Genomic DNA, 22,950 nt, shown 5'->3' on the forward strand with positions numbered 1-22,950 from the left:
TGCTTTTTTTGATTATGCCTTACCTGTGTCACCCCATCCTGTTATGTAACAGTTGGATGCTGTTTTCTGTGGCCTCTCTCTCCAGAGTGGTAAACAGGCTGGCAAAACATGGCTGCTGAATCTGGCACATTGCTCTTCTGGTCCTTGTAATCTAACCAGGGCTATGTCATAATCACTGCGGTCGGGTCGATACTCCCGATGAATCACAATCTGTTGAACTCCAATTTCTTCCTCAAACTCCTCTGGTACCAGAGTATGATAATCTCCAACCCTAACAGCATAGCTCCTAGTGCTGTTGCCATACCTGAGAGGCAGAGAGTACTAATGAGAGACTTGCTTCAGATACTGAAAATTATTGTCAAGAAGGAAGACTAATGAAGATACAAGCCTTTCTTCCAAATCATCAGCCCCTTTTGTAAATTCAACCTTTCTTTCCATTTATCTGACCCACCATTCCTGATCCTCTACTGCAAACCCATTGTCATAACCTCATCTTCATTTCATTATGTAATCTGTTCTCCAAGAAGGAGCAAATGTGGAGGATGAGTGGAAAATAAAGACTAATCATTAATCTGTCATTTCCCAAATGAAAAGCGATCAAAACAGGAATAGGTCAAAATTATTGTCCTGTGTTGTTGCCCTGTTATTTCCAAGAATTGTTAGTTTGTCATGAAGCTCTGTGAGGGCAGAAACTAACTTTGTGTCCCTCAAAGTACTTAGTACAATCGACTTCACTCTTGCAAGGTGGACTTAAACTACTTCCCTTTCCTCTAAAGTGAATGCAAACCCAAACTATACTTTCAGATAAACATATATTCCTTCTATCCTTTCCCCTCTTTTAAATCTTTATTCAGATGTCACCTCAATGAAGCCTACTTTGACACCCTCGTATTTAAAATTGCAACCCATCTTTCTTTTTCCTCCCATCATCAAACACTCCCAATATCATTCATCTCTACTTTTCCTCGTTTTTAAGCATCACTTTGTAACAAAACTATCTAATTTACAATTTATTGCATTTATCCTCCTCCCTGCTTGAGTCAAAGCTATTCCAGGTCAGAGATATCTTTGTTGTGTTCACTGATTAATCTAAAACACCTAAAATAGTGTTGTGCCATTAATTAGGAATGCAAAAAATTGATTAAGTTAGTGAATGCTTATTATTAATGTATACTTTCTATAGTCCATTAAAATAGAAGCAATATTTACCAGATGGATAGTTCTCAGCCCATTTTTCAGCCATCATACTAAAGTATGATGATTCTGATACCAAACCCACCTAAAGCAGGGTTTCTCAATCTCAGAACCTATTAACATTTTGGACCAGGTAATTATCTGTTGTGAGGGCTGTCCTGTGCATTATAGTGTGTTTAGAAGCATCCCTGGCCCCTATTCACTAGACGCCACTGGTACATGGTACACAAACCCTCCATCCCCAGTTGCGATTACCAAAAATGTCTCCAGACATAGTCACGTGTTCCCTGTTAGGCAAACTGCCCCCAGTTGAGAACCTCTGACCTAGAATGCATGACACAACCCATCTCCTAGTTACTTCCTCTTTTTCACAGAAGACTAGAGCTCCATGCTCATTGCATTCCACTACTTATAACATTCTTAAGACTTAATTTCCAATAACTTTTCCTTTGTAGTTCCCTGACTTACTCATCTGCAATGAGTGTATTCTCCACCTCATCTCAGCCACACACTTACAATGTAAAACCTAGACCTTGTATTCACCAGGTAACCACACACCTCTGAAATCTTGATTTCACACATACCGTTATTTCTGCCTTCTGTTTTTACAGCTCTAAAATCCTTCAAACCCATTGGACTTCTATCCTTTGGCCCTACTATTTTTTCATTTTAGTCTTTTATGACTTCCCTTATTATCTGGCTTGGGTTCTACCGTCTGCCCATTACAACAATCACTCGAAAAACTACCCTGCTTGTCTTTTACCTGCCAAAACTCCAGCCCTGGTTTCATCAGCTCTACCTATTTTGTGCCGGCATCTAACTGTTAAAGTGGGGAAGCACGCATGTAACAACTTTCACCTTAAATTTTTTTTAACCAAAACTTGGGTCTTTTATTGTTTACAAGACCTGTACTTGAATGTGAACTTAGAACTGAGTTGGTATTCAAAAGCTTGGCATTTTCTAGTGTCTATTTAAAATAAAACTTCCCACTTCTATAAAATTACTGGAGGTTATGAGATGCCTGAATATTCTAATCCTTAAGTAGGGCTCTGACCATCTCGTATATATGATTAACTGTCAGCGCTCAAAAACTAAACAGTGCAATAAAGATGATTTGGCTTATATAGCCACCTACTGTTGATCTTTAATATTAATAGTTAATCTGTGATTTCTTGAGACTCAATCTTAAATCATCACATATCTTTAAAGTTCAGAGGCTTTTTAATATATTGTGCCTAAAGTATATGCTCTTATAGCTTCCTTGAAAATTTAAGTAAAATTTAGGATTATTTCACATACTGAACTAAAAAGTAATAGGCATGGAGAGTAATCAAGTACTTATTTTCACTTCTACTTTCTGTGTGCTAGTAATATCGCTAGTATATTCATTAAATTTTATTAACAGTACATTCACATATTTAAAGTAAAACCCCAAATGATTTAACACTTTTCCCACAAGAATTATTGTAAATACATCCTTGAAAGTACTGCTGAAATGTTGCATTTATCTTTTTAATAGAATTTAAGAAATTATCTAGAGCTGTAGTGCCCGATATAGTAGCCACTAGCTAACTGTGGTTACTGCAGCACTTGGAATATGGTTAGTCTGAATTGAGATGTGCTGAAAGTACAAAATACACAGAATTTTGAATACTTAGTATGAAAAAAAAACTAAAATATTGTCCCTATAGATAATAAGAATATTAAATATCTCAACTTTTCTATTAGTTACATTTTGCAATGATAATATTTTAGATACACTATGTTAAATATATTATTTAAAGTACTTTGACCTGTTTGGGTTTTTATCTTTTTTTTTCTTTTTTTGAGACAAGATTTCACTCTGTTTTAAGTCTTATTGCAACAGTATTTTCCATTCTGTAAGAAACAGCTGTGACGCTTGGCTAAATTAATCTTTGCAGCTAAACTGGCTGTATAAATCTATTCCGCATTATCTATAAAAATTGAGTCTTCAACCAGTAAGCAAAGAAACAGGACATTACTAGCACAGGCAATTTATTTTTAAAATAATATCAATGTTAAAGCCCTGGGCAATCTTGCCTTAATGTGTCATTTCATGCCAAGACTATTGCAGTAGTCGCCTGAATGGACTTGCCGCTTCAAGTTTTAAATTTTTCAACCCATCCCTCATGCTGCCGCCAGAGTGATGTTTCTGCCTGATAATATAACTCCTTCTGAGTACCCTTCAAGGGATCCCCAATCTATGTGAAATTCAAATTCCTTAAATGATACACAAATCCATCTAAGAACTGGTCCTTGTTCCCCTCTCTGATACCAGCCTGGCCCCTGTGCTCCTGTCATTTACACCGTTTGAAGAGTTGTCTTACAAACCCACGTCATTATCCAAACTATGTGCAATGTTGTTTCTCTCATCCCCTCTATCCTAATATGGCAAAACCTGATTTTGTCCTGATCAAGTCAAAGATCTCCTAGGAGGCTCCTCCTAATCTTCTGCTCTCCTGAAAGCTAGCCAATCCTTTTGAACACTCTCAATGCATATGTAACAGTTTCTAGGACTTAATTAAAGGCTTTTCAAGGGCAAGGACCATGTCATGATCACTATTGTATCCTTAGCACCCAGCAAAGTGCTTGGCACAGAGAAAGCGCTTAATAAATGTATAATGAATGAGTTATTTTGAAAGACATTCATGTCCACATACATACACTCTCATCCCTAACTTACTGAAATTAAAAAGAGATCTTATCAATTACCATATTATAACAAAACTATCAAAAAATGTTTCTATTTCCTATAAAAACCCCATGAAAATCCATGGGGTTCAGATCCACCGTCAGACTTGGGAACCACTGAACCAAAGACTCAAAAGTGTGGGCATAACTCCTGCCCGTACATGCCCAGAACTTCACTGGATGAAGTAAGCATCCTAAGAGATTACTAATAGAAACCAAAATGCAAAAAGCATACATGTTCCATACATACACTGTGTTCCTGGATCAAGTAGATTTTGGCAGGTAAACCCCAGAATTTGTATGCTCACCAATCAGCAGTTTATATTAAACTGAGAATAAAAATATTTACCTAACAAAAAGGCGAACAGTACCATTCTTGTCAAAATGAAGTTGTTAGTTCATATGTATATATGGAATACACACACACACACATCTTTTTTTTCTTTTTTGAGACAAGGGTTCACTCTGTTGCCCAGGCTGGAGCGCAGTGGTGCGATCACGGCTTACTGCGAGCCTTGATCTCCTAGGCTCAAGCCATCCTCCTGCCTTAGCCACTCAAGCAGCCGGGACCACAAGTGCATGCCACCATGCTCACTAATTTTCAAAAATTATTTTTTGTAGAGATAGGGTCTCACTATGTTGCCTTGGTTGGCCTCAAACTCCTGGGCTCAAGCGATCTGCCTGCCTTGGCCTCCTGAAGTGCTGAGATTATAGGTACTGCACCCGGCCAAGTACCTATACTTTTAAAGTTGTCCTAATTTAGGGAAATGTACCAGCTAAACCTAAGCATGGAGTCTCACACTCCTTTAACTCCAATTATTCTTAGAATATATTTTGTGCTTAGAATTTGAAGAGCATCTGACACAAGATTGGAATAGTTTTCCAACCAAATTTTTGTCTTCTAGTGTCACCTCTCCTAGTGGGTATGATTATATGCTTTAGGGATAACACTTTGGCTGAAGTACTCAATATGTGTGTGGACTTCAGAAGTATCTATTATGGTTCTAGGCTTCTCAAGACAACATATAAAGCAATCCTCTTTTGCAATGTATTTTAAGGTCTTTCTAGTTGAACTTTTGTTATTTTGATAGACTTTATTTTATCCAAAAATGCTTCTAAAACAAACATTTCAGGTTTTGGCTGACACATCATTCAGTTGTTTGCTTTGCTGAAATGCCTTCAACTCCCCCTCAAATAAAAATTGGATGAAATTCCCAGACAAGTTTGAGCAAGAGAGGATCTGAGACACAGTAGTTTATTAAAATCCAATGTCCAAGTTTCTCTGAGACTCTGAGGCTAAAGTAAACAACAACAACAACAAATTACTAGAATTAAAAGTAGAATTAATTCAGGTTGCAGGGTCATATTCTTTGTGTTTCTTCTCTACATGGATTCGTCTCTACAGGAAAACAGTATTTTACATCAGGCCATGCACATCTGCTACTACTAAAATCTGTTTTTCCTCTCTGGATGAAACTCAAAAAGTAGTTGACTGAAGTTGTTTATGTAAATGGTTCCAATTGCTTACAGAGAAGTAAACCTCAGTAGAATCTTGCGTTAGCCCTTACACATACACAAATACTATGTGTACTACAGAAATAGTTTTAGCATGATTGGTGATATGTGTATTACCAAAGGCTATGTTCCTAAGAGCTCTGCTCTACCATATACTATGTCATGATGAAACATATATTAGGCATCTGACACACTGTGTTCTTAAAAAGTAAGTCCCATTACCTCTGTGGCCATCTCTCTAATTAGAAATATCTAGTCATTTCTAACAATTTCCAGCTACTATTGCATTTCTAGGGCAAAAAGTCAATGAGATAAAGTCAGGTAAAGTTATATTCTTGAACAAGTCCACTTTGGAGTAAAATTACAGAAATAAGAAAGCCCTTGTTTCAGGTACATTTATTCCTGCAAAATCAGGTTTGTTATCAGAATAAGCAATTAAAAGAAATTAATATTCAGGAATTTTTGTCTCAGTTATATTGCTGCACCACAATAGACACGCAAGGCAATTTCATGGTACTTGTAGTTACAATCTAGAATAGAAAGCAAAAATTAGCAATTTATATTATGTAAGATTCACAAGCCAGTTACAAAAGAACTTAATTTAACAAAGTTTCCAATTCAAATTGCCAACAGGCTACTGCATTCCATGTGTATTGCATTAACATTAAGAAAAATGTGAAAAATGAGATAGCCTTTAAATAGTGATTTACCAACTACTTCAGGTGCGCTTGTTACATTGGCATGGAAATGTGTGAAAGCTATGAGGGAATAAGAGTTGAGTTACGAAAACTTTGCCAGCCTTCACATAAAGCACCCTTAAAGAGACTACTCCACATGAAATGAGTGTAACTGAGGCTAGCGGCATTATGGCATTAATATGGCAGAGTGGAATTATGGCATTTTGATCTCATCCTCATCAGGCCACCATTCCTAGATTATTCTGATACAAAGATTATATAAAAGAGTGACTATGCTATGAAGGCAAACAAATAAACATAAAAAGTTCTAATCCTGTATAATTAAATAACACAAATGGTAATAACGATCTATGCCTTATTGTCCAGAAATGGCTGGTCAAGAACATTGGCCTACATCACTGCAAGAATTAGGTACCAAGGAAGCTCTGATGAACAAGAAATCTTTAGGTATACAGAAGCCCAGTAGTTGATAAAGCAGTGGAAATGTCAAAAGGGGGTGAGGGGAAGCTAATTTCAAAATATGAAATCCCGTTCCCCTACCTATAGGCCTTATATTAAACTAAGGTATCTTTCACCTGGCATCTAAAAGGACAGGAACCTCTCAGAGCCCTACTACATTGCTTCTAGATTACAGTCTCTATTTTGCAAATTTCAGTGTTTCTGATGATGAAAGGAGGATTTGTTTTAAGCAAAAGTCCCTAAATCTAGGAAAACAAAATTTGGAGCTTGTTCTAATCACTAGTAACTAGCTGTATGCCTTTTAATAAACTTACATCAATAAAGATGTGAGCTGTAGCCTCCTTAGGCGCTTCAAACAGGAAGTCTATGAAATCCGGCAAAGGTAAAAGCCAAGTCAGAAGGATATATAACACATTTGCAAAGCAGTTTTTTCCCTACTCACATTAAAAGAATCTTGTATTATAGCCAAAGCATATCAAAATGCTGCATATCATAATCTGCTCCTCTGCTCTTTAATCAACTATTTTTATCTTAAACTGTGCAAATAATGAGAAGAAATTCCAAAGGACATATGGAAGGAATTATCTGTTGATCTCAGTTTGAAAATATCATCATCCTCTAAAAAGCCCAACATTCTTAAATAATTCACTATCTGGCAACTGAGCCACCACTTTCATCATGTAACAATCATTCAGAGTATCTACTATGTGCCAAGTCATACAGTAGACACTTGGTGTATAAACACAAATGAGAAATGAGACGATTACTGACTTTAAGCAATAATCAAGACAGAGCAGGCCAAAGGAGAAATAATGACATGTAAACAAATAAATCCAAAAATAACAACAACAAAAAAAAGAGCCCATCCAGGGAACCCAAAAGTTAAAGTGTTTAACCTCAAGTGCAACTTTTGAGCAATCTTCCTACTTTAATACTTTAAGCCTTGAACTCCTATGACTGTAACTTTTGGCTGAAATTTGAAAGACAAGAAATCTTGAATAACAGGAAGATAACAGATTATTTTGCTTAAATTCAAAGCCCCAAAATAGGCTTCTTCAAGTTCTTTGCAATTTTATACCTTATTCTTCTCCATTAGTAAGTGAAATAAAATAATCCTCAGTTCCCTACTTTCACTAATATAGTCTTCAATTCTTGCCTTTAAACTCCAACATAAAAATAACCAATATTTGTTTTGAATTTTAGAGGTTATAAAATACTTTGACATACTTTGCAGATCATTTGTTTCTCACTGTGGAACATTATTATCTTCATTTTACAGATGTAAAATGACGTAACCTGAGACTCCAAGAGGTTAAATAATTTCTGCAAAGTTAAACAATTAACAATTGGAAGAGCTAGAATTGTAAACCTGGTCTTGGTGGCCAGATCCAAGTCTCCTTCTGTTGTATTGTACCAGGCTCTACTGATTTCTAACAGTCTCTCTACCTTCACTCCCTCCTTTCCTTTTCACCTATTTCTATTATTACAATAATCTTATAACTGGTCTCCCTCCAGTATAAAAGTATAAAATTAGGTCCCTTCCTCACAGTCCCTCCAGTTCCTACTTAAATCATTTGGTAACACAGACCAATTTGCCAGAAAAAGGCATGTAAGTACAAACATATACAAAGATTTTTTTAATATAATGTCAAGCCCATTCACAGACGCCCCCCTAGATTAATAACTTTGCCTTACCCCCTCAGATATATGCCACAAATCTCCAAATGACTCATCTCCTGAAACTCTTCCTTGATCATCTTTCAAGGCTCAAAACTTTAGTGGTTTCCCACTACCTAGTAAATGAAAGAGGAATCCATAACCCTGGCATCCCAGGCCATTCTCGTCTCTCTAAGTTCACTAACAAATCCCAGATCCTGTATTCTAGGTAATAATTGCCATCCCTCAAACATAGCTTTTGCTTTCTCACCACAGTACTCTAAACACTACATCTTATCTACCACCAGCCTCTACCTTCACATGAACCTAAGCTCTCTCTGCTTAAACAGACTCCTTAACAGAACTCACTTTTCCTCCCACATATAGCCCATTCCATCTTTGAACTGTCCTCGTGTCAAAGAAATAAAAAATAAACAACAGAAAACTCTTTTTTGTGTTAAAGCAAAAATTATCTTATCTCCCTTTAACATTTGTGGTATCTGAAGCAAAAGGCAACAAATCTAATCCAGTCCCACACAATCTTTCCTTTCTGCTTGCCCTTCTTAGAGCACCATGTCCTTTTCTCATTGTGTGGCACACAGAACTGAGCACAGTTCTCTGTTTGATGGACACAGTGCTTTTCTCCCTGACAGTTGCTTGAGCACAGAAAGACAGAATAGCAAGGTTCTTCACTGCTTTGTCTGGACACCATTCGTCAGTGCTACCCAAGACTGAATTAATTTCATGGGCAACCATATTGTATTGCTGAGTCTTATTAAAGTTGCAGGACGCTAAAACCAGTGAGTTTTTCACTTGTGCTGTATTTCAGCCAAATTTCCTGGAACTAAAGGCAGCATTTTATTTCATCCTTATTCCATATTGCTTGTTAGAATCAGCCTATCAAGATATTTTGCCAGGTGAGGGGAGGGAACTTGGAGGACCAGTCAATAAGTGCAGCAAACCACGATGACACGCGTATACCTATGTAACAAACCTGCACGTTCTGCACATGTATCCTAGTTTTTTTTTTAGAAGAAATTTTTAAAAATTGGTCTTCCCATATATGAAAAAAAAAGATATTTTGCCATCATGATCCTACCTTCCAACATATTACTTGTCCCTCCCCTTCTTCTGGCACCCAAAAATATAATCAATTTACCATCAGTGTCCTTTATCAGTTTAGCAATTAATATGTTGAACACGACAAAGATAAGCATCTGTCAATTCCACTTATTCTTCCCCATCATCATTCTTCAACTACGTCTCCTCTAAGCAAGTGGGTCTTAACCTAAGCAACTCCTGGGTCTCATCTCCAAAGATTCAGCAGATTTAGAGCAGGGGCTCAGGAACCTGGACTATTAACAAGCTAAATGAATCTAACATTTTGGTAAAAATATCTCACTTTAAAAATGGTGCCCTAAACTTTTTCTGGTCATATCAGCAAAGTCAACATCTCCTTCCTCTCAGCTCCTATAACTACATAGTAAACTCTGTAACAGCAAGGATTCTATCTGACTTGTTCTCCACTATATCTCTAGTACATAGCAGGTGCCTGAGAACATTAAGGGCTCAATAATTATTTGTTAAGTGAATGAATTAATATGATCTTTATTGTTCATGCCACTCAGGTAACACAGGAATGTGTTAAACCCACTAGTAAACAGGTGGACTCTGAAGCTCAATTATATCCCCAAATAGCCACTGTTATGTAAAATACAGGTTTGATCAGGCTGGGAAGCAAGGCGGGCAGATCACTTGAGGTCAGGAGTACAAGACCAGCCTGGCCAACATGGTAAAACCCCGTCTCTATTAAAAATACAAAAATTAGCCAGGCATGGTGACGCACACCTGTAATCCCAGCTACTCAAGAGGCTGACGCGGGAGAATCCTTAAACCTGGCAGGGCAGAGGCTGCAGTAAGCCAAGATCGTGCCACTACACTCCAGCTAGGGCAACAAAGTGAGACTCCATCTCAAAAAATAATAATAATAATAATAAATAAATAAATAAAATACATATTATCTGCAGCACCTTGAATGTGGAAGATGACTGCACAAATATTTACTGAAGTACAAAAATGGAAGAAAACAGAGATCCTAGGAACAAGGATATATGAGAATTTGGCATATGACAGCATAATCAGTGGGTAAAGACTAGAATATTTAATAAAAAAATGCTGCGAAAACTATCCATAAAGAAAAGTATAAGATTAGGTCCTTTCTTCATACCATATACTATAAACAAAAATAAACTGGAAAAATTAAACTTCTAAATATTAAAAGCAAAACTATAAAGGTAATTTTTAGGAAAACAAATAAGAGAATATCTTCACCAAATGGGGCAAAGATTTTTTAAATAAGAAATACAAAGCTTTTGTAAAACTTTTAAGAAAATGATGACACTTTTAAATATATGAAGACAGTTTTGTAAGAAAAAGGCCATAAACAAGTAAAAGGACAAGGTCCAGACTAGGAAAAAGTACTTGTAACACCTAACAACAAAGACTTAGCACACAGAACATATCCAAAAATTTAAAAAATCAATTACAAATAGACAAATAGCCCAATACAAAAACAGGCAAAGTATATGAACAAAGAATTCATGAAAGAGGAAGACATTGGTCAGGGAAATACAATTAAAAAGAAACCCCAAAACTTTGTGATTGGCAAAAAATTTAAAATTTTGATAGTATCAAGTTTAGGTGGAGTGGTGAGGAAACAGGAACTTACACATTGCTGGGTTATAAACTGATACAATTTCTTCAAAGGATAAATTGGCAAGGCTTGAAAAATTGAAGGGAATCCATATTCCAGGACCCAGAAAAATGTCCCCATGTGCACACACCCAGTGAGACTTGTACCTGGTTGTTTATTGCAACATTGTTTTCTATCAATGAAAGAATGGAAAGCAGCTAACTATGCAGCAACAGGCGAATAAATAAACTGGTTCAGTCTTTCAATAGCAGTTAAAATTCATGGAGCAGTTAAAGTGAATGAACAAATCTGCATGGATGGATCGTAAGTACATAATGAGGCAAAGGTATGTACCGTATGATATCACATAAGAAAAAACAGAAAAATTTCTGCTTGCAAAAATGTTTCAACAATGTGGTACACATTTTTTTAAAACTTCATTGTGACAATGTTCAAAACACAAAATTAAAATAGTACAATGAAACTCTGTACTCAACACATTGCTTTAATAATTATCAATATTTTGACAAGCATTGGTATACATATTTAAATACCAAAATTAATGCTGAGGAAAGGGCCATTAACCAAGGCCCACAAAAAAGCACTAAACAAGAGAAAGTAGAGCCAGTTCTACTGCAGGATCTGCCACCATGAGCTCCGTGACTCTGGTGACTCTGCATGACCTCTCCTCTGAACTGGGAAGACTTCAGAAAGGACTGATAAAATGTTTGGGACAAGAAGAAATAATCAGGACTAAACTATAGGAAACCAAGAATGAAACATATGCAACCTTTCTCAAAGGTACAAGACACCAAGACTCAAAGAATCAAAAACACTACAACTGCATTCCCTAGTCCTTATCATTATAACTAAATAATCCGAGGTCTATTCTACCTCCACAAAGATATAATTTCAGCCTCAGATACGTTCTTGGGGGGAGCACTGACATTGCTGCCTCCTCTCCAAAAACCCCTGTTCTTCTATTCTCCCTAAATCCAGAGTTTGTTTTAACACCAGGGTAGCAAGTGGCCTTCTAAGGGCTCTCTTTGCTCCTTTTGTCACTCCCTCATTCCACAGGGCTGCTGGCACAAGCAGCGAAAGCTCATAGCCTGGCTCTGACACCTTGAGTGCTGTAGAGCATGAGGGGATTGGAAGAACTGATGAATAGAAGCTACACTAGGTTGTTTGGGAAGGTGGACACATACCTCTTGAAACAGTGTGCTGCTGTGAGGACCCAGCAGCTACTCAGGAGCGTAGCCCCGCAGAGGAGCCTGCCATCTCCATGGGATGACTTCAGCCGGAGGGAAACCTGCCAAGGCCAACCACCCCTAAGAAGAAAATGAGCTACACATCAACGTCAGTAAAAGGCAAAAAAGCAAAGGAAAGCACTGGTTAAAGCAATGGCTTTAATAACTTTAATGCCTTGCAGGTGGGGGAAAAGGAAAGCAAAAGGGACTCCAGGATACATCCCTTCCTACTTTGAGAAGGAGACCCCACAACTCTGAGCAGGCCCAGCATCAGCAACTCTAAAGATTTGCTTATAGGCATTTGTATAGATCCCACCTATCTGACACTCTTAGAAACAAGTTGTCTTCTTTATATTTCATGATTTAAAGTGTAATTTCTCTCCTCACTCTACCTCGCCTATGCAGTCTGAAGAAGTATTTAATAAAGTTTTCCATGAGTAAATTCTACAAACAAAAAACTTAGATTAAACTGAGTCAAGTCTGAAACAAATACATTCTAAATTAGATGAATCTTTGTAGTTACACACACTTCCAGGTCTCCTGTTAAATTATTTTGTTTCTGCCATATAACTTTTCAGCAACACATCTAATCTCTTAAATCAGGCTGGTATAAGAACATGGTGTATACCAAGTAAACATAGGTCAAAGGACAGTGAAATTATCAGTGAAATCTGAATTTAGTTTAGAAAATAAAATGAGTACAAGTCCCTTATATAACAGAACATCCCCAGTTTGTAACACTCTATGTATATAAATAATTCTGTAATATAAAAAATCTCTTTTGGAGGAACATTTACCTTAAAGAATTTTTCCCACCAATGATCCGCTTCTGCCGACGGTGCAGTAATCTCAAGCCACAAACAGATGAGAGGGACTCTGAAGCAGAAATAGGTCATTAATTAAACTATCACATTGCTGACAGAGGGGTAAGACGATAAGTGACATACTCCACTGATGCTTCCTCCTCTATGTCAAAATCCCTTTTCTCTGCAAATTAAAATTTTTCTTGTAACAAAAATAGTTTTCTCATTTGACTAAATGACAATAATTTGCAAGTAGACAAGAAACATTATGAGGTTTCCCATTCTTCACCTCTGAGGGGTTCATGGGCTGCTGACTGGTTTGACTCTGTCCAGTACTTTATCCTGGTAGGTACCTATATCTCCTGCTGCTGCTATTTGGTGTAATGTATGGAACAAAATGTATGGAACATTAAACAAAATAAGAGAACTGCAAAGGCAGTAATGGCCTAAATTACTTACTTTCCACATGCAAGACTGTTCTAAGTCACATAAAAAAATGTAACTCAGAAGAGCAAAGCACATTCCCAGGCTAGAATTCTGATCTGAATTTACATTTACTTAGCATGTCAACATACGGAAAGGGTTTGCTAAGCCAATTGAAGTGGTAAACTATGGTTAAGGGTATACAGGCAAACCTCCCAAGGTAACAGACTTCTGTCAAGAACATACAAAAAAGAAGAATTAAATTAAAAATATATAAAAAGGTGGTATATGAAAGAAAGGCAAATGCAACAGGTATGACTAATTTTTAAAATATTTGAGAAAACAGGAGAATTTATATAGAGGTACTTTGTTTCTTTGGTTAAATATATGTGTATAAAGTATAGATATGTACTGTTTTTCTATCTAAGAGGAGGAGGGTGGGAACTGTGCCAAGTACAGGAAGACCTAATCAACACTAATGGTCTCCCATAATAACCAGGTAGAAGGGAGCCCAACAGGGAATCAGCAATAGTTATTTCTTGGTGGAGAAAGACGTTCAACAATGTGTACCAAGATGATTAATTTGCAAAATGATCTCAGAGGTATGCTTTCAAACTTTAACCTTCATTTCTTACAATATGAGTCCTCTAGATGACACTGCAAATTGTAAGATATTAGAAAAAACATAAGTTTCCAATAATGCTCCAAGTTGGGTCAATGTATATGATGCCAAGAAAAGGAATGATGTAATGTTTAAAACAAGCAAAATTTTAAGTTTACATCATTCTGGGGCAAAGAACCAGCCTGCAAGAAAGTAAACTCTATTTAAAGTCATACACTATTATTTAAAATTTTTTAAAAGAAAAATGAAGTTCATTTATAAAAGAAACCCATCAGATGACCAATAACCAATGGCTTCAGTTTGAATCACCTTATAGATGTCACCAGGTCCTGAGTATCAACATAAAATCAACTGGTTAATATGCCAGATTCTGTAATCTAGCTGGGCTAAGATGAAATCTTTTTACTTGAAGTATGGTAGCATTGCCATAACCATGGAAAGATATCAAAAAGAATATTGCTATAATTCTAGGAAGGCATTAAAAACAAACATATAAATAATGTTTTTTATGTTTTTCAACTGCTTACGGAATTTCACATAATTCAAAGAATCAGTTATATCCCATTTGTAATGGTAATTTAAATTATTAAAGGGAATTCAGTAAATTAAGTTATAATCAGTATTCAGGGGAAAGAGCTGGCCAAATCATTCACATATATACATATATCTATACACACATTCATATATAAAAATATGTATATATATTTAATATATATGAATAGAAAATAAAGTGAAAAGGATTGTAAGTGTTCTTTTCACAATCAGAAGCCCCTCAGACAGCAAAGAATCATATTAACGACATCCAATTCACTTATTGCATTGTCTTTGGCAGTTATTAAAAGGTGTTAGAAAAAGAGAATCCTCAAAATACAGGTGCACCTGATTTTAACAAAATCCAGTGTATCAGAACTATAAACTTTCAATCCAGATAAAGAGGCAACTGTTCTTTTCATAAAATGTACCACAAATTTCTCCAAAATAGCTCATTCTCTCAGTCATTTAAAGAATGTTTCATAAAAATTAAATAGGCCAGGTGTGGTGGCTCACGCCTGTAGTCCCAGCACTTCAGGAGGTTGAGGTGGGCGGATCATCTGAGGTCAGGAGTTCTAGACCAGCCTAGACAACACGTGAAACCCCCGTCTCTACTAAAAATACAAAAATTAGCTGGGCGTGGTGGCAGGCGCCTGTAATCCCAGCTACTCGGGAGGCTGAGGCAGGAGAATCACTTGAACCCAGGAGGTGGAGGTTGCAGTGAGTCAAGATCGTGCCACTGCACTCTAGCCTGGGTGACAGAGCAAGACTCCGTCTCAACAAAAAAAAAAAAAAAAAAAATTAAATGTATGCAGAGCTTTCAAGAACTCTATTCATTTAAAGTATGAAACATTACTGTATCATACGAAAGGATTACTTATCATTTTCCTTAAATTTTTAAATTTCAGAGAATAAAATCTACAAAACATCATTTTCTTTTTGAAATTCATTTTTAAATATCCTTGTTTAAAATATTAGTAAGACTTTAGAAATGCCTTTAATTCATTTCTATATTTTCATTTCTTTCCTTTTTATGAAGTCATTATCAATTCTGAATCTTCAAAGATAGCAACAAGCATGAGAGCTTTATTACATCTAAAAAAGGAAACAGAGAAATGGCTAAGAAAGTGAAAAGAGGATGATCCCAGAGATTACAAGGCCCCGTAAATTCATTCCTACCCCTGAACCTTGTTCTGCCTGTCAGCCCCACCTAGGCAAGTTTGCCAAGAACTACCGGATCTAAGTAATAGCACAAGACATGGATCTGTATACGTTCTTGTTGTACTAGATTTCTGTTATCAAAGTACTGCTTATAGTAATGGAATGGGAATTAGTATTCCTTGACTTGTTTAGGGCTCCAGAAGGTGACTTACCTTTATTACTGTTACCTGAGGCCTTCTTGCCAAAATAATCACAAATAACTCCTGCATCTTCACTGTGGCGGCAGTTGTGTCTTCCAATATCTTGCTTGATACAGTCAGCCAAGGACCTCTCATTTCCTGTGCACTTCACATTATCCACATGGATGGGTCCTTTTCCTTCTCCAAAGTAAGCCATGGTTCTTGCTCTGGCAGGACCCCTGAAGACAGAACATTCTTAATCATGTGAAGAATCAGTCAGTCATATATCTGAATAAATCACAACATGTATTCAATTTTATTCCTTAATTTTTACATATTAAAATTAGCATCTGCATGTGCTAAAAACCATTTGTTTCATGACTGTCAAAAAAAATTAAATAAAAAAGGTATTAACTATACTTTCCCATACTCCACAGCTACTTTATTACATCACTTGCCTCTAATTTAGCTTTTTCTAAGAAACTTACATTTAATGGCACATCAAAAAATCATGATAGTCTTTAACTCTCGTTTAAGCAGGAAAAAATCACCTCTAAATTTTTTACCCTCTTAAAGAGTACAATACTCTCTTAATATTGGTATAATATTGCAAAGAAAACAATGAGATTAAATAATAACCTACAGAGGTAAGAACTAATTTTTTTGCCTCCTTTAGAAGAAAAATGTACAATTTTTTTAGGCCGGGCACGTTGGCTCATGCCTAGAATCCCAACACTTTGGGAGGCCAAGGCGGGCGGATCACCTGAGGTCAGGAGTTCAAGACCAGCCTAGCTAACATGGTGAAACCGTTTCTACTAAAAATACAAAAATTTAGCTGGGCATGGTGGCACGTGCTTGTAATCCCAGCTACTTGGGAGGCTGAGGCAGGAGAATCACTTGAACCGAAGAGGCGGAAGCTGCAGTGAGCCGAGATCGTGCCATTGCACTCCAGCTTGGGCAACAAGAGCAAAACTCTGTCTCAAAAATAATAAAATAAATAAAATAAATAAAATAAATAAAATAAAATAAAATAAAATAAAATAAAATAAATAAAATAAATAAAATTAAATAAAATAAAATAAAATAAAATAAAATAAATAAAATAAAATAAATAAAATAAAATAAAATAAAATAAAATAAAATAAATTAGCTGGGCATGTAGTCCCAGCTACTCTGGAGGCTGAGGCAGGAGAATGGCTTGAACCCAGGAGGCAGAGATTGCAGTGAGCTGAGATCACGCCGTTGCGCTCCAGCCTGGGTGACAAGGCGAGACTCCATCTCAAAAAAAAAAGAAGTACAATTTTTTATATTTATTTACTTTTTTTTTTTAAGACACAGTCTCACTTTGTCACCCAGGCTGGAGTGCCATGGCGTGATCTCGGCTCACTGCAGCCTTGAACTCTTGGGCTCGGGAGACCCTCTCACCTCATCCCCCCAAGTAGCTGGGACTACAGGCGCATGCCACCATGCCTGGCTAATTTGTTTGTATTTGTAGTAGAAACGGGGTTTCACCATGTTGCCTAGGCTAATCTCCAACTCCTGACCTCAAGCGATCCACCCACCTTAGCCTCTCAAAGTGCTAGGATTACAGGAGTGAGTTACCACACCTGGCCTAAAAGTACAATTTTTAACGGAGACAGAGAAAAATAGGAATCATGACTAAATGGCAGATTTACTTTTAGTTTATTAATTTTTTGTTTAATAACACATTTTAAAGTATGCAAATACAAAAATATTTAAATGAAATAAATATTTCAAACTAACGCCATATTTAGAACTCAATTTCTGATAAATTAATGAAATAGTTATCAAAGGCAAAAGCTTTCAAGCAAATTAATGAAATAGTTATCAGAAGCAAAAGCTTTCCAGATGAATTATTGGAAAACTATCCTTGAAATCTCAAGTTAGGGAAAAACTTAATAAAGTGGACATAGAGGGTATAAACTATAAATTTTAAAATTGATAAACTTAAAAATTAAGAATGTAGCTTTCCTAAAAACTACTCCAAGGAAAGTGGAAAGATAAATTTAAAAGTTGATATTTCTAGAAATATATTTGTTGGTGAATATACTTTCTAGTAGAGAATAATGGCATACAATAGACAAAGAAATCATTTAAAAAATAAGTAATCTGTTTTTAACAAAACTGTAGGTGATTCTTCTGCGGATAGTTCTCCATCAAACTTTGGCAAAGAAAACTAAGTTATTTCTTCATTGTTGCGCATGTGTTTTAAAATTATTAGACTTCTTACAATTATATATATATCCTTATACATAAATCTTTGTGGGCAGCTTAGATTTCTTCCTAGAAGTTTTATTCTACTTTTTTCTATTTTTTAATCAATTAATTAATTATATTATTTATTGCATTTTTTAAATTTTATGTATTTATTGTATATCACGGTTCTTGTCTGTCTGAAATTTATTTCTGTCTTACTATTAGTGTTAGTAAGAAATCTAGCTTTATTTTTGTCCTTAAAGTAGTTGTCCCAATAACCTGCTGATTTGAAAGTCTTTCTTATTTATCATGCTATATGTGCACAAGCCATTTCTTGGTCTTTATAGTTCAGTAATTCACAACCTTGGCTACCCATCAGAATTGCCTTTGAAAACACTTAAAGTATAGCACAACCTGAACCTCATCTCACATGAATTAAAGTAGAATGGGTAGTGTTTTTTCAAGTTCCAAAATGATTTCAATCTAAAACCAAGGTTGAAAGCCACTGCTGCAGTGTCACTGACCTCTTTGACTATTCCTGTGCCAGTACCACATGGACTGGATTTCAGATGAATTTGGAAGTCAAATCCCCCTCCCCACCCCATATGCACACCAAGAAAAATGAAAGATTTTTACTAGCATAGTATTTAATGTATAAATTTATTTCTATTTTGTCTTCACATTCAGGATTGCGGTACATCTCTTCATTGATAAGGTCTTCTAGCTTTAGTAAAGACTTAGGTTTTTCACATAGGTCTCAATTCTTACAAAGTGTATTCCTAGTTTTTGTTTTGTTGTTAGTTTTTGTAACTTCTACAGATCTGTTTTTCTTTTTATTTTCTACTTATCCCACAGGCAGACGATTGCCTTTTAAGTATTTATGTTTTATCTTGTTACATTAATAAACACTAGTTCTAGTCTCTTTCCAGTTGATTCTCTTGGGTTTTCTAGGTGAACAATCATATTATTCATATAAATATTCTGACCCTTCCTTTTCAATACTGATACCTCAATTCTTAAGGCTTTAGTGCAACCTCCAGACAATGCTATCATTGCAGTAATGGCAGGCACTCTTTTGTTCCTATTTGATGCTTATTTGTGATATAAAATTAAAGCAGTTTAATTTTGTTCTCAGCTTCCTAAGAAGGAATGTTGATTTTATCATATAACTTTTCAACATTATTAAGATATTTGTTTAATCATTTATTAAAATTATTGTATATTTATGGGTGACACACTGAATTACATTAATTGAATGTCTCAGTTTGAATCACTCTTACATTCCTACAACAGACTCCACTTACTGGTGGTATATTGCTCTTTTAATACATTGTAGAATTAAATTTGCTAATATTTTGTTAGCAAAATAACTTTGTATGTAGATTCATTAGATTGAGGTATAGTTTTCTTTTTTGTGTGTTTACTTACCTAGTCTTGAAATCACATTAAATTAGCTTCATAAAATAAATGGAAAGATTTCCATAAGTTTCTTTGCTCTGCAACAATTCATGTAATTCAGAAACTGTTTCTTAAGGACTGGTGAAAAGTCGCCCAGGCTGGAGTGCAATGGCACAATCTCAGCTTACCGCAACCTCTCCCTTCTTGGTTCAAGCGATTCTCCTGCCTCAGCCTCCCGAGCGGCTGGGATTAGAGGCATAAGCCACCACAGCTGGCTAATTTTTGTATTTTTAGTAGAGATGGGGTTTCACCATGTTGGCCAGGCTGGTCTTGAACTCCTGGCCTCGAGAGATCTGCCCGCCGCGGCCTCCCAAAGTGCTGGGATTACAGGCGTGAGCCACCGTGCCCAGCTGTATTGTTAATCTACTAGAGTTTTTGTTTAACCTTCTATATATCTGTGCTTAAATTTCTTTTCTGTTCTCTATGTTTACTTGTATTGTCTCTCCTTTTTCTTAGGCAAAATTGCATAAGATTGTTGAGATTGTTGTTTATTAACCTTCTTTAAAAATAAAAATAATTGCTGATAATGTATAGGTATAATGTAAAGAAATTTGAAATTCAAATCGGCATAATTTGAAGACAATAAAAAATTAATAGAATTTGGAAACAAAAATTCCAGATGATTCCCAGAAGTTTCAGAGGTGAGAATGGGTGGAGGTAGAAAGTAAACAACAATATGTTAAATGTCTTTATCTTTTTCAGGAAGGGGAAGTTACAGATAATAATTTTTGAAATTATTAAGAAAGTATGTTTCAGTATGTTTGCTAAAAATTTAAAGAGAACTTCCAGAAAAACAATAAGAATGTTGAATTTCTAGACCACTGAGAAAAGATGAAAATTGAAAATTGAATTAATCATGAAAATCAAAAAACAGATGATTACACAAAAAACAGAAAATAAAGCATGATAAATAACATAAAAGTAGATGGCAGGTAGAAGTAGACATACAGAAAGTAAAATTTAACTCACTTAAAGAAACCAAAAGGATCATTTCTTAGCAACTGATCAACTTGCACAAACTAAAAAAAAGCACCATTTTAGATATATCAATAAGTAGAAATTAGAGAACATTTTAACAAATAACAGCACATGATTAAATTCTCATTGATATAGTGAAATCTAATACATTTTCTTTTGACTACTCTTTCTTTAAACAATTAAGGACTCTGCCATCCATAGAAAAAAGGGAAAGGCTTCTCACTGGTTTACTGAATCTAGTAATTCATAGCTGAAAATTTCAATGACACAACACTTTCTGATAATTAGTCTTTAAACTGGATGTCAAGTGCTCCTGGTAGATAATAACTTTCCAAGGGATACACAGGCTGTAAGTGAATCAATTTTTATATCCTCAAATTTCACATATATTATTTCTTAAAAATAATCTTGCTGCTATCAAGATCAAACTTCTCTTTCAAAATTTCTCTTCTCTCACTTCACAAAAAGCATATCTTGCACTCACTCCAAATCCTACCGCAGTGCATTCCTCCAAAGTTTGAAAGCCTCTAAAGGGGACAAAAGAAAAATTCAAAATATATGATAGCAATGAAGCTTCCTTAATCCAAGCAACACAAACCCAACCCATTGGTCTAATTAAGAAATGAGAGCTTTGGTAAACTTTTATTTTCTATGTTTAATAATTATTTAATAATTTTATTAAATATTTTGCTGTTTATTATCAGTTGTATACTAGAAATTATAAATTCCAGAGACACCTGAAACTTGTTAGCATAATTTCTCTCTCTCCATGTACGTGTGTGTGTGTATCTGTATATATGCATACATGTGTATATGTATGTGTGTATGTGTGCATATATGTGTGTGTATATATACATATACACACATATTTTTAAGGCATAATAACATTGAGATTCCGTGGGGGAAGAAAATTTAAAATACAACTTCAAGGAGAAAAAAAAACTGTAAAATTTCTGGTCAAAGAAGTATTTTTTGTTCATGTATTTTTTAAAATGGATAGCTGAATCAAATTACTATATTTATATTTCACTGGATATAATTAAGAGTGGTATAACTGTTTTATATTCAAATGTCATACAAATATACCAGAAATTAAGTCCTTTGCAGCTATTTAAATGTAAAATAGATATCAGATACACTTAATTTTAGATCTCTATTAAAGCAGTGAGAATATACAATTTTTAAAATTTTTTTAAGGATTAATACGCTAACAAACATGTTCAAAAACAATGCTATATTGGAACATATGCTACTGGATCCACATAAAGTGTAAATATAATGGAATTTCCGTCATGACTACTTAGTCTATCTCAATGAATTTAACTGATCTCAACACATTCTCTATCAACAATCTACGAACAATATGCTCATATGCTAGACTTTGTCAGACATTATGTAATGCATCAATAAATAATGCCTTTTACTTTCTGTTCACTTTAAGCATATCTGTATTAGTTACCATTCACATTTCCTTTTTTATTATCTCATTTCTGTCTTTCCCATTATGAAAAGGCTTTCTAATACCATTTTGATTCTCAGTATTTCCAAGGACTAATCCTCATGCATCATAGAACTGGCTGGAGGACAGATCTCTGAAATTCCTATTTATGAGGCTCAAATCTTATAACAGCTTCAAAGTTTCCTGGATTGATTTCTACAAATAAGTCCTTTATTAAAGATTTTTTGTGATTCAAAATAGACATGATGAAAAAAAGATCCTCGGCACTAGTCACATACCTGTTTATAATTTATATATATATATATATATACACACACACACACACATATATATATATACTGAAAATATACATATATGTTCTTATATGAAATCCAATTTCCCTTCAGTGGGAAATTATAAAAATATTCAAGTATATTTAATCAAATAGCTAAACAATTCTCATTTAAATACTATTTGATGGCAAATTGCAGATTATGTTATCCAATTTGTTATAGTAACATTAAATTACTGAATTACTTGTAAGACTATTTAAAATGCAATTATAAAGTCTTTTGATGCTTTTCTTGATTGATAAGTATTACAGAAATATTGAAAGCTGCAACAAACTTTGTTCACTTAATCTAGAGTGTGTTTCTCATCTAAAATCACTTCTTTTTTAGCTTTAATTAGGTATAATCAATATAAAAAATCTTCTTCAGTTTGGACATATGCATGTATCTGTGATACCATTACCACAACCAAGGTGCTAAATATATCCATCACCTCCAAAAATTTCCTTGTGTTCTTTTCTGAGGTTTGTTTGTTTGTTTTGTTATGTTCTGTTTCTGTTTTCATTTGGCTTTGGTAAGAACACAAATAAGATCTATACCCTCAACATATTTTGAAGTATATAGTACCATATTGTTAACTATAGGTACTGTATTGTACGGTAGATCTCTAGAACTTA

The 22,950-nt window shown here is 35.1% G+C and overlaps 1 protein-coding gene and 1 long non-coding RNA gene across 5 annotated transcripts in view; both read right to left on the reverse strand.

Moving 5' to 3' along the window:
- PRSS12 (serine protease 12) overlaps positions 1-22,950 on the reverse strand; it is a 72,966-nt gene that overhangs the window by 2,770 nt on the left and 47,246 nt on the right. For 2 of the 4 annotated variants that reach the window (NM_001440549.1, NM_003619.4), the window contains exons 9-12: positions 15,926-16,131; positions 12,971-13,049; positions 12,132-12,254; positions 24-304 (exon numbers count right to left, since the gene is read on the reverse strand). In NM_001440549.1, the coding sequence (NP_001427478.1) occupies positions 24-304; positions 12,132-12,254; positions 12,971-13,049; positions 15,926-16,131 (689 nt within the window). Of the gene's footprint in view, positions 1-23; positions 305-12,131; positions 12,255-12,970; positions 13,050-15,925; positions 16,132-17,558; positions 21,073-22,950 lie in introns of those variants that run through there. The other 2 variants (NM_001440550.1, NM_001440551.1) reach the window with 1 other exon arrangement.
- LOC124900766 (uncharacterized) lies at positions 5,146-9,210 on the reverse strand. The gene is made up of 2 exons (XR_007058245.1): positions 6,893-9,210; positions 5,146-5,951 (listed from the first exon to the last, which is right to left on the reverse strand). It is a non-coding gene; the product is annotated as an uncharacterized LOC124900766 (long non-coding RNA).

This window comes from Homo sapiens, chromosome 4 (assembly GCF_000001405.40).
Source record: "Homo sapiens chromosome 4, GRCh38.p14 Primary Assembly".
Lineage (NCBI taxonomy): Eukaryota > Metazoa > Chordata > Mammalia > Primates > Hominidae > Homo > Homo sapiens.